Raw genomic sequence first — 13,670 nt, 5'->3', positions numbered from 1 at the left:
TATAGCCTGTAGGTAGGACTAAGAAAATATGGGTTGGCTTAAATCAAGCAATTTTATGTCCCTCTCCCTATTATTGATCTATTCTTTTTCACCCATTTCCAATTTGTTTTGTATTTTCTACATTCCTATAAGACCATCTGCTGCAGGTTGAGTAATCTGGAAACAGATGCAGAGATGGATTTTATAGTTCAAGTTGTTTATTTGTAATTATCACTGAGGAAGAGAAAAGGGAGGAAGTGGGATTGGGCAGCAGAAGAAGGCAGGCCTGATCAAAATTTTGTCAACCTAACAGGGCACTGTGAAGTAACCATTGATCATTAAGAGTGCCTATGTCAAGCCAAAATGCCCAGCATACACACCCTTCACTCAGTCACCGACACAGGCTGTCTCAGCAAGAATGTGACCTCAGGCAAGGTGAGTCTCTGAGCTGAGGTAGGATCTGAAGTTGCTGAACTATGGAGATGATCTGCGATGCAATTACCTCCACTGAGCAGCAGGTCCTTCCTCGCGGGGGAAGCTGGGAGGTACATCAGAGTCTACCACAGTCCCCTTCTTTTAGGCTTAGAACCATGTTTCTATATGGGATGGAAGATCAGATCCTCCAGATGTCTGGCGAGCCTCTCATCCTGAAGGGAGACTTAGAAGAGAGACGTTGGTGAGATAAACAGTAGTGCCCAAAGCTGGAGTGGGTCTCAGGGTTCCACCTAATACTCATTATCTCCTTTCTTCCCTAGGCATTTTAAGTTCCATTAACCCTCAGCTTCCACTTCTACTGGCCTGGCTGCCTTCTTGTTAGTCTGACTCAGACCTTCAGCCCTAAGGACCTGAGTCACTGGCCACCATCCTCCTTGGCTGCAGTCACTCGGCCAATCAATTTACAGTCAAAATTGGGAAAGGGAGTACTAAGTTAGGACCAAGTGGATGGGTTAAGTTCTACACAAATTCCTCTCTGCCTCTATTGTGCAATAACACCACCTCCTCTTAATGATTGGAGTCAATTACCCTGCCAAGATAGTGACTTCTTCTTGCTTTTGGTCCCTGTAAACAAGGAGATCAAAGTACCCAAGTGAAAACTAAAGCTTGTAATTCAATGGGACTTTTGCTATGTCCTCTTGGGAAAGTGTTATCCTCTTTGAAGACCAGGACTGTTAATCTAGCAGAACCCAGAATTACAGGGAAAGAAATCACAACGACCCTCAATGGGTCATTGAGAGTGATAGTAAGTGAGACCACTACTGTTTTCACTCCTTAATTCCTGTGTCCATGTAGTCTTCCTTCAGGGACACAGCACCATATAAAGATCATTTATTTGATCCAAATACTGAATTTTACATAATGGCAATCTGTCTGTGTAGAGTATTACCTCTGAACCTCCAATGCTCTATCAGGCTAGTAGTTTCTGAGCAGAGTATATGATATGACCAGTGAATTATCTGGTTACAGACTCACTCATGAACTTCCTTTGCTATAAAGTGCATCCCTTGGTCTGGTGCAAAGTTATGCAGGATCCCATGCCAGTGAATCAAATACTCGATAAACTTTTGGATACTAGTGCTGGCTGAGGTCATCTGTACAGGAAAGGGAAACTCATACTCAGAATGCATGTCCATTCCTGTGAGATACGTGAAATTAACCACTAACCCTTGCAGGACGAAATGAGCCCAGCGTTGTAAACCTGCCATCTAGAGGCCAGTTGTTCTTCCTGAGTGAGTAATGGTGTCATATTAACATTGGTCTCTGTTGCTGACATATTAAATATTCAGCAGCGACCATAGCTAGATAAGCCTTTGTAAGTGGGAGTCCAGGTTATTTGAGCCATGCAAATCCTTCATCATTGCTGCTGTCATTTATGTATCCATTTGGCCAGCACTGGTGTGGCTGATGACAGGCCGGCTGATGTTGGCTGGGTAGGTCACTTTGTCTAATCGGTTGTGTCACTTCCGTGACATATGCTATCTGGTGGGCACTAATATGTGATACAAAGATCATCACAATTTCTATCCATTCACGTATGTCTATCCACATGCCTCTACTTCACTTTCTAGTCACCAGTGTTCCATTCTTTCTCCCTCCAGGTTCATGACCAGGTGGGCAGGCCATTCATCACTGTCCATGAGTTTGTATGAATTTAACCTCAAGTTAGCTCTCCTTCTATGAAAGGAAATAAGCAGGTCCATCTCTCTGCCTTGGGAGTTTTTCCTGGTCTTTCGAAGCCATCTCTGAATGAGATTGATTGAATGAGATTTGAATACCTGCCATTCATTTTGACTTGTACCCAAATACTAAGCCAACCTATCTATACGCCAAACTCAGGGTTTTTGTACTCCTTTACCTGGTGTAGTAAATTCTCCACATAGCCATAGATATGAGCTGAGGAAGGTATGCTGGTGCCACAGTGGTGGGTGCCACGTGGACTGGAGCCTCCTGTTCATGCTCAAGCTTGCTTGGGTTTTCTGGTCTACCCAGCCCTCAGTCCTAGATATACCACTTTCATTTTATAACTAATTGTGCCTGGGCTTAGCTGACCTTATAACATAGTGTATCTGACAGGACCCAGCTCATAATGGACAGTTCTAGACATATAGTCACTTGGTTTCTCATGGTCAGGTGATCCATCTCTACTTGGATCCAGTAGTATGCCAGAAGTTGTTGCAAATGGTGCATAATTCTCCACTTCAAATGGATGGCTGTGCTCCAGAACCTCAAGGCCCACATGTGATTCTCGCACTAGTACTTGATGAAACTATGACTGACATCTTTGCCTACCACTGACAATCCTTTGGGGAGTGACTGAAGAAAGTATTACCATGTAAAGAACCTAGGGTTCTTTCTCCTAGGAATTGGTCTATCTCTTCAATCCGTTCCAGGTTTGAAAACAAGATCAGATCCACAAACTGGCAAGGAATGATGACTTTTCTAATAGACTATATTTTTAGAGCAATTTTGGGGTCACAGTGAAGTTTAACAGAAAATACAGAGAGCTCCCACATACCCCCAATCCCCACACATATAGTCTCCTCCTGTTATAAACACCACACACTGGAGCGGTACATTTGTTACAATCACTGAATCTACACTGAAAAATCATTACCACCCAAAGTCCATAGTTTACATTAGAGTTTATATTAAGTTGTTGTACACTCTACAGGTTTTGACAAATGTGTAATGCTGTGTATCCATTCTTTTTTTTTTTTAATTTTCTTTGAGATGGAGTCTCGTTCTGTTGCCCAGGCTGGAGTGCAATGGCATGACCTGGGCTCATTGCAACCTCTGCCTCCCGGGTTCAAGCGATTCTCCTGCCTCAGCCTCCCGAATATCTGGGATTACAGGCACGTGCCACCGTGTGCAGCTAATTTTTGTATTTTTAGTAGAGACTGGGTTTCGCCATGTTGGTCAGGATGGTCTCAATCTCCTGACCTCATGATCTGCCCACCTCAGCTTCCCAAAGTGCTGGGATTAAAGGTGTGAGCCACTGCGCCTGACCTGTATCTACTTTTAATTATAGTATCATATAGAGCAGTTTTACTGCCCTAAAAATCCTCTGTGATGTTCCTATTAATTTCTCCCTTCCCCTAACTGCTAGCAACCACTGATATTTTTACTATCTGCATAGCTCTCCCCTTTCCAGAATGTCATATAGTTGGAATCATACAGTATACAGCCTTTTCAGATTGGCCTTTTCATTTAGTAATACATATTTATGGTGTGGAATTACAACTTTTTATCAGAATGACATCCTCAGCCTGCCAGTCATCCTTTCCTGATTTTTCTACAGGCACAAACTGAATAATATCCTAGTCAGTTGCCTCTTTTTGTCCCTAGGGATGCTATATTCTATTAACCATTTTCATAACTCTGAGAGTCATGTTTCCTTACCCTCCAATCTTGCTCGTCATTACAATAATTGCAACAGTCTGGTTTAGGATGTTCAAGCACCTCCACCTGGCCTCTATTTTTTCAGGGTTCTCTGATGCCCATTGTTACCAGTGAGTAAGTTCTGTAACAGACTATCCCACCATCAACCTTGGCTTAAAGAGAACCATGAATGAAAATTTCAGTGATCCTGGTGGACATTTAGTCAGTGCATTTATGATGCCTTTGGTAAAAAGATGTGTCCTCTGGGCCCCATGAACATGATCACCTCAGGGACCTTCTAGCCAAACGGGATATATTGATTCTAGCATCCTCACATCTATAAACTTTTCATTTCTTTCCTTCATCTTTTGCCATGAAAATTATGTCACTCCAGCTTTGTGTGATGTGAACTATTCCTTTTTTATGTTTCCAGAGACCATTCTAGGAGTAAGTTCACACCATCCCCCAGAACCGTGCCAAGATGTGAAATCCTACAATTGAAGAGAACATTACCAAGTCAATAAACTCTTCACCATCTAATTTGTATTACAGGGCCCCTTGGTCAAGCATCCTCAGAATCCCATTCCAAATATACTCCCCTGGCTTTTTCCAATACATGTTGGCTAGTTCCTATAGCATTTTTGGGAAATTGTCCCTTTCCTGACTTAATCAGGTTTAGAACATCCTCTGCTATATTATGGCTCTATGGATATTAATGTCAACTCAGACCCTGAGTACAACTTAACCTTAGTTACAGGCCTTGTGGGCAGGAAGGAATGTAGTATAGACTCTGGGCAGGCATGTGTACCTCATGGGGGTGAGACCTATATAATGTATTCCACGAGGTGACAGCTGCTAGCTTTTAATATGGATGGATGGACCATGTCTTCAGGCTCAGAGGGTTCAGATGTACAGTTGACCCTTGAACAACACAGATTCTAACTATGTGGGTCCACTTATATGTATTATAGATTTTCTTCAACAAAACATAGCTCAAAAATACAGTATTCAGAGGATGTGAAGCCCACATATATGAAGGGCTGACTTCCTATATGCAGATTCCATGGAGATGACTGCAGGATTTGAGTACGAACAGATTTTGTATATTTGGGGGTCTTAAAACCAATCACTCTAGTGATTGAGGGTCAACTGGGAGACAAAATTTTCTGAGACATCATGTAGATATCTCTATCTCTTTAGAGTTCTGGACTTTCTTAAACATGGTGATAATCTGACATGACAGACCATCCTTAGATGGCCATTTGGTTATCTGTGAAATTCAGTCACTCTGAATATGATTTCTCAGGCTGAGACTTTGACTTTCTATATTCTCCCAACAGAGTTTTTAAGAGCTTCTTTGCAACCAAGATGTCCTCCAGCTTTTACACCTGGAATTCTATTGCCTATTACGCATCTTCAGCTACTCATCTTTCTGCCGAATATCGGTGGCATTTAATGATAGCTATCCAAAGCCATTGTGCTTGTCATTATTATTTCTCTGGTGAGTTTCAAATGCATATTTTCCACTTACCAATGCATTCTCTTCCACAAGCATAACATCCCAATTCACCACAGGTGAAAACTTAAATGGACCATCACCTTGTTTCATGGGCCATCTGTGCTCCATTTATGACCAGTGATAGGGTCAGCGCCAACTACATGGTGGCAATCCAGCTCAAACATCCCATTTTATCACCTAGTTGCTCAATCCATTCCTGATATCAATTAATACAGGTTAGGTTTTCCAGAAGTAGACACTGATATAGAGTTTAAGGTGAAAAATATTCATTAAGGTTCAACATTTTTAAAAGGAAAAGGGAGGAAGCAGTATTGGGGAGAGGAAGAAATCAAGCTATGATAATGTGGGCAATATAGCAGCAAGCCCTGGAAAGAGTATTGCACGTAAGCATGTTCCTGAAATGGTCTGTATTCTCTCACCTTGCTCAGTCACAAAATACAGTCTATCCTGCAAAGGGTGTGGCCCTGGGAAAGGTGGCTCTTTGTACCTGAGGCACACCCTGAAGGATATGGCAGCTGGAGGCTATCCACTGACTGCCATTCCTGCACACTTCTTTCATTGAAGGAGGATTTCCATTCTGACCACACCATCTTAAATCTTTTTTTAAAGGCAGAATACAAATGTCTTAGTCTGTTTTCTGCTGCTGTAATAGAATACCACAGACTAGGTAATCTATAAAGAAAAGAGATTTATTTGGCTAATAATTCTGAAGGCTGTGAAGTCCAAGATCAAGGGCCACATCTGGTGAGGGATTTTTTTACTGTGTCATAACAGGGCAGAAGGCACCACATGCAAAGGATTGTCCCTTGGTGAAAGGCAAAAGAGTAAGCTCAAGAGACAGAGAAGGAAGCTGGACTCCCCCAGTAACCCACTCCCAGCATAAAGGTGTTAATCCATTTATGAAGGTGAAGCTCTCGTAAATGAATCACCTCTTAAAGGTCCCACCTCTTAATACTATTACAATGATAATTAAATTTCAACATGAGTTTTGGAGGAGACATTTAAACAATAGCAATCAATAAATATTTCATATGGGTTTCAGTTTGCTTTTGTAAGAAACCTTTAATAGGTTACAAGCCAATTATAGCTTACATAAATCCTGTAAAAGCATAACCATTGAAATCTGCAGTTATAGCCCAAACTGAAAGATGAATAATTTTTCATAAAACACATAAATAGGAATAGAATTAAATTGGCATCATTCTTATCATCACTTTGAGACATAGTGCTATTTCCAGTCACTCCCTGTTTGTAAATAAAAACACAATTTTTCATTACTTGAGAACAGTCTACAGCACAAAATTTTTCCCCAGATTTTGTGCTCACTCTAAAGAAGATTTACGGTGATGCTGTCATTAATCAAAATGAGAGAGATCTACTTTTTAAGTGGGTTCAGTATAGTGGCTTCTAGCAATTTCAGCCAGAATTTTTCTATGGAAACTGATTTACATTAATTCCTTAAATCTAATGCCTAAGAAGTCTGCTCAATATATTTCTATCTAGGAGAAAGAGCCAGACCTGACTAATAACCACACAAAGTTGCATAGACTTAAGGAACATTCTGAGAGGGGAGAAAAGGGAGAATGAGTCTCCCAAAAGATTCATTTATTTGAAATAAACCTTCATATTCATGGCTTTGGTTTCTAAAACGACCTAGTCATTCAATAGACAATAACAGTGTTTCCCAAAAGTGTGATTTATGAATCATCTGCATCAGAATCACTTTAGGTTCTTAAGGAGATAAAGTGCTTATTTTTCTAGGGAACGAGAAATTTGTATGTTTATATTTTTAACAGGCTAGTTAGGCGATACTGGAGCACACAAAGTCTGAGAACCACAGATCAATAGTATGTTCACTGTTCAGTCACAGGGTGAGTTGTTAAGCAATAGTGAAAGCTGACATAGGCTGAGCTCTATGTGCCAGGCTCTGCTGTAAGCTCTTCATGTGTGTTGTCTCATTTTATCTTCGCTATAATTCTACAAGTGAGAAACTGTTGTTACTTTCATCTCACAGGTGATAAAACTTAGGGACACACTTGGGGAATAGGAAATTTGGAATTAAAACAGAAAATTTTACTAGAAGCTGTACACACTCTTAACCACTAAATTCTACTGTGAGCCTATGTTGGGTTGAGACTGGGAGATGCAAAACTCAAGTCCTTATGCAGGAAATTTAGACATCCTCTAGTCCAAAAGCTGAGCACCTTCTGAACTTTCACTGTTGATAGTGAAGTCCTAATTACTTCTGTGTTTTATATATTGAAAATGATAATTTGATATGGATGCAACATTTTTTCAGATTACAAGTATTTGCCCCATTGAACCAAATATCTGTGTATGATATGCTCTGGAAATGATAAAGTACTCCAATTATAAGGATCCCGAAGATTGGATCCTTTGCAAAATGTCATCTTATCACTTTTGAAGAGCTGTCTGGCCTGACTCTGACTTGTCTTCAATTAATGAATACATCTATAAAACAATTAACTCATTTCTTTTCTCTCTCATACATATATATATGTGTGTGTGTATGAGAGATATAAAATATATATATATATATACATTTGACTGTCATACCATCATTGGCACAACTTTCTGAAATATGGTTTAATTTTTTAATGAGCTTATCAATACTGAAAACAAGGACATTATTCATGTCAGAGTTTTATGAAAATACACTCTTGGCTGTTTATTAAAAACAGAATATAATGAGACTTCAATTCCGTCATTAACTAAAAGCCATAAACCAGTATTCTTTTAAAAGTATTGTATAATTAAGAGTTATCTCATTCTACACTACTTCACTAATCATGATGATGAGGATCCCAATCAAAAGGATATTATCACTTGTCAGAGATAATCTTCTAACTTTGTGGTTGTGTAAGACACTTTTATTGGCTTCACATTTATATTTTGTTCCACTTCATTGCAATACTAAAGAGCTCTTAATTCATTAGCATTTTATTCAAATGCATTAAATCTACTTGTTTCTGATTCTAATAAAAAATAAAATTTCTGTATCCTTCAAGCCTGTAATTTTTTTAAGAAAGCCTTGATATTAGAAAATTTCTTTTTAGAATGGTATTTTATCCAATGAAACATAATTATTAATATTGTAAAACTTGCGTGGAGGCTTATAAGAATAAAATGCATTTGTTGCCAGTCTTTTTGGAGGGTTTTGTTGTTGTTGTTGTTTGTTTGCTTGCTTTTCAAGACAGGATTTCACTCTGTCACCCAGGCTGGAGTGCAGTGGCATGATCTCAGCTCACTGCAACCTCAGCCTCCTGGGTTCAAGTGATCCTTATTCCTCAGCCTCCCAAGTAGCTGGGACTACAGGTTCACACTACCATGCCCACAACTAGAGAACTACCTTAACTTCTATTGAGCAAGCAGAGGAGAAAGAACATTCAAACTGGGTCGAGTATTGTGGCTTATGCCTGTAATCCCACCCCTTTGTGAGGTCGAGGCAGGAGGATAGCTTTAGCCCAGGATTTCGACACCAGCCTAGGCAACATAGTGGGACAAGGTCTCTACTAAAAAATTAAAAATTAGCCAGGTCTGATGGTATGTGCCTGTATTCCCAGCCACTGTGGAGGGTGAGGCAAGAGGATCACTTGAGCCTGGGAGGTCAAGGCTACAGTGATCCGTGATTGTACCACTGTGAGACCCTGTCTCAAATTTTTAAAAAATTAAAACGAACTTTCAAACTTATCATGCACACCTTAAATGCCAGCTCTTTGGAGTTATTTGTACATGATTTTTCAATTAATTATCACCACGACAATTGGTAAAAGGCATTATAAACCCTATTATTACCAACCATTCACATATGAGAAGACTGAGATTCAATAGGTTAAGTGTTATGTCTAAGGTCACACAGTTAATAAGTGAATCAAAATCCCAAGGTCTTTTCCCACATATCATGTTATCTTCAGAGAAAATACTAGTAGCATATTAACAAACCAATGCAATCTCATTTGGATGTAAAACTAGAATGGTCATGTGTACAATACATTATAAGCAACTCCTTAGCCCTAAGTATTGCAAGTGCACACAGCAACAGTTTTACAGAGTGTCAGTTATTAAGCTGTGAGTTGATTTCAGAAAATAACCACTCTGATTTATTGGTAAGTAACCCAGGTAGATTGTAGAAGCAACTGTGGTTTTTCATACACAGGCAATATTTCAGTTAAGACGGTTTCTTTCCAATGATGTCATTAAAGTACCTCAGTGTTTAAGAATCATAGACCATTTGGTTACATAGCAATTGGTGAGCGTGGGAACTGTTGGGGAAATGGTATTTTGGATTGAGAATTTCGTTTCAAAAAATGGAAAGTTGCAAATGAAAGCTAACCCTTTTAGTCTTGTTACTAATGTGAGACTTGTTCTACACCACTGACCTCTTCCTGATCCTAGATAATGCTAAAAGATCATGAACCAAAATAGTAAAGTTGGAAGATACATCACTCACAGAAGACAAAGTGTGGTGTGGTGATGAGACTTACGGAAGAAAACTACTTCTATCGCTCTTTAGGCTTCTCTGGTTTTAGTTTTCTTCTTAACCCCCTCCCTCTGTAAACACACAGACACAACAGGTAGGAAACCAGCTCATTCCTCATTCCTCATTCCTCATTTGTTTAAACCAATGAATATTCTGCCTCAGAAGTCAGAACATGCTGCCTTATATAACGAGGTGTGTGTGTGTGTGTGTGTGTGTGTGTGTGTGTGTGTGTGTGTGATGTACTATTCTGGGGCAGAGGAAAGGGCAGGTAGAAATCCTGAGGAGCTATGGCAGGAAGAAAGAGTTGCTACCTCCCTTTCAAGCTACGTCGGGGAGAGGGGGTGGGGACTATACCAACCCATCACCACGCCGCATGCCACTCTCACACAGATGCTTCTCCGTCATGTTCTCTGGGAAATTTCCCCCCGATTAGGAAAAGGACGGTAACACGGTTCTGCCTCGGAAGGCGAGTTTTTACCACTGCAACACAAAGAACAGAGGAGCGCGCTTTCACATCGTTGCAACTTAACTCACTTGACCAGCTCTATACTTCAGCACCACGGAGAGCGGTACATCCTTGGCTACCACCCATGGGGAGCCAGCTTCTGGCGACTCAACACCGGATTCCGGTCATCTAGAGGAGGAACAAGCCTGCGTATTACACCCTCAATGTAAGCAGCTATGATGGTTCTTTCATATTGATTTTTTTTTCCAGTAGAGGTTGTGTTCTCGCTAAAATATGTAATTGAACTTTCATTTATCAGCCTTCTTCCTCTAGTGCACTGCTTAGATTTTTAGATGGATCTGAGATCTTTCTTATTTGTTGAGTTGGTAGAAGAAATTTTTTTTTTCTTTTATAGAATGTCTAAGTTTTCAAAGCCATTTAGAAACGGACAACTCATGTCGGTAGCCTATTCCTTTTGTGCTAGAGTAATATAGTTTTATTCCTAGATGAGTGTATAGGTGTTGTCTCTTCTTTCCCTTCACTACTGACAGCTTTCTAATGTATTTATGTGGTTGTATTTATCATAATATAAATATAGGGGTGAGAGAAGGGAGAGGGTTATATTCTAATAAGTAGCCACTGTTAAAGAACTACAGGTGGCAAGAAAGAGATTGTCATTTTTCTTTTCTTCTTGTTGAAAATATGGTCTGAGCTATGTATCTCCTTTAGACATCCATTTCAAAATAACAAATATGCTCCTAATGAAAGAGGTGTAATCTAGGCAGAGCTTTGAAACTCTCATAATCTCCCCTTTAAGTTTGAAGTTGTAAATTCATTTACCTATGATTGAGTAGACACAACCAAAATGCTATTGCTATTAATTATAATTTAGAGGCGTAATGGATTCAGGGTAGACTCAGAAAAGGCAATAATGATTGACCCTGTCTGGTGGCACTCAGTGAATTTTTGCCTCAGAATGCCACCTGCTGGTGGGTCTTATTTCTGAAGCACCGAGTACACATCAAATTTATGAATGAATTCACATTAAATCCAGAATATTCATTATGGATGTGATGCAAACCCAATCTCCAAGATCTTTTTAACAATGACATTGATTCAATTATTTAAAAGCTTACCAAACTTCTATGTCACAATTACCCTTTCATAAATATTTATTTCCAAAAACACTTGCTCCTAAACTTAGGTGCATGTAGACTAGATAACTCCTTTAGGCAGTAATTAACCCAGAAAAAAATCAGAACTATGTGGAGCCTCATTGAGGCTAATTGCAGAATGCATGCGGTATCTTGGATGAGAGCTACCAGGAGCTCTTGCTTAGTAAAGGCAATCAACATTTCCCTCCATATAAATATTAAGCATGTTACTTTTTTTCAGTATTGTCATTTCATAATATAAGGGCCTCTCTTTCTTTCTCAGTAGTAGATGTTTATTTCAGACTCTTATCATAGAGGTCAGTGAAATCATCAAAAGGTTACACATATCTATTTTATTTCAAGAAAAATCTTTTTTAAAAATAAAGCTATCAAAACTTGTTTCAGCTCCACCTGGAGCTATACACAATGAGATATAGACATCCAGTTTCATAACTTCCAACTTCCAAATAGGAAAATAAGGATTTTAAAAGTAAAAAGAAAAATAGAAGCACATACAAAGCACTAGTTATATTTGGATAGGTGGTACCTAGGACAGTTTGAAAAAACTGAGGATAACTTCTTCTCTAAATGATGTTACTTGGTAGAAAATAAATTACTAATAGAAACACTTATTAACATTCAGGAACACTAGATAATATTTTTATTCCAAGATGCAATGGAAAAACCATCCCACATTAGTAGAATTATTTGGAAAGTATATCTTAATATAAAACATTTTAATGAGTAAAAGAAGGATACTTTGCTTGTTTCCTGTAGGATTTAACTGGTGAAATGTATGAACTCGTGTATACCTTGGGGTAGTTAGGTATATATCTTTTTTTTCTTTTATTTAAAGTATATATGTTGTACAAGCAAATTATTATCAGTAGCTTAGATGGGAACTTAAATGCCTTAAACCCACAATTAATATATTTGTAATAAGTTAAATAGAGCTAATAATATCCAATTTCACTAGAGCACTTACAAGGCAATGATAAATAGTTTACGTTCACTATCTCACCTCAATTTCAACAGAAAAAGGAAGGTGATACTTAGAAATAAGTTGGATGCCTTGGGAAATATGTAAAAATTTTCAGGAGTAGTGTGAAGAAGTGAGAATGTCTCAATTTTCTGCTCAGTCACCAAGGGACATCATATGCCCTCTGATATTAGCTGCTTCATCTAGCAACTTATGGGCCATAATTTATAGTGGAGCTAATTAGAAACTGATTTTACTTAGGAATTCATACCTTATTTTAAATGTTGCCAGTCATAAGTAGGAAATAACAGTCATAGAATTATATGGCTCCTGCATTTTGTGAGAAGGAAGATGCTGGTAAACACCAACAGCTCCAGTGTACTGATCTTCTTAAATGATCAACCCAGATTCAAATATTTAGGAATGAATTAAGTTGATTGACCAAGCACCATATGCAAGGCATCAGGAGTACAGGGCACCAGGTGCATATGCCATATACACGAGTATTCCCTACCCTCAAGGATCTTGAACTCTAATGGAAAAAGTTATAGCCTAAAGAAACTCAGAAAAACAAAAAACAAAACAAAACAAAAAAACAGAAAGACAAAAAGAAGATGGCTGGCAGTGGCATACTAGCCAAAAGCACAAACTTTCAAAGCAGACAGACTAGATCCTTAATAGTGAGTCCACCACTGACACATTGTGTAGCTTCGGAAAAGTGGTTAATTAATTTGACCATCACTTCATCATCTGTTAAATGGGAATGACAATAGCACCTAAACCATGTAATAGTTTGTGAGAACTTAAAATGATAATGCATGTTCTCAAATGTGTCATGTTCGCTATACATTTCTAATCATTTTTGCTTAATGATTTATGTACTTACCTCCTTTTTTATATGTTTATATTTACAATTCATTCATCATTACATTGCCATTTGTCTTTACAGGCTGGCTTTATTGTGTTGAGTATCTATAATGTTAAATTTCTCTTTATATCTTATTTGAAAAATAAATGAATAAATAAATATAAATGACAATGTACATAAATTACTCAGCATGGTGGCTGGCACATGGTTAATGTGAAACAAATGTTAGTCACTATGATTAAATAGTCATTCAGGAAAATAGCTAACCTTATCAGAAGATAATTTATTTAAAACAGTAATTTATGTAAAGCACTTAGGACAGTGTCTACATGGTAAATGTGTAATATAT

General features: G+C 38.6%; 1 protein-coding gene across 4 annotated transcripts in view; it reads left to right on the top strand.

Moving 5' to 3' along the window:
- Positions 1 to 10,253: 10,253 nt before the first annotated feature.
- TRPC7 (transient receptor potential cation channel subfamily C member 7) overlaps positions 10,254 to 13,670 on the top strand; it is a 152,801-nt gene continuing 149,384 nt past the window's right edge. For all 4 annotated transcript variants that reach the window (NM_001167576.2, NM_001167577.2, NM_001376901.1 and 1 more), the window contains exon 1: positions 10,254 to 10,546. In NM_001167576.2, coding sequence (NP_001161048.1) covers positions 10,545 to 10,546 — 2 coding nt within the window. In that variant the 5' untranslated portion in view covers positions 10,254 to 10,544. The remainder of the gene's footprint in view (positions 10,547 to 13,670) is intronic.

The sequence above is a fragment of the Homo sapiens genome, chromosome 5 (assembly GCF_000001405.40).
Source record: "Homo sapiens chromosome 5, GRCh38.p14 Primary Assembly".
In the NCBI taxonomy this organism is placed as follows: Eukaryota; Metazoa; Chordata; class Mammalia; order Primates; family Hominidae; genus Homo; species Homo sapiens.
This window is presented reverse-complemented; position numbering and strand designations above follow the sequence as displayed.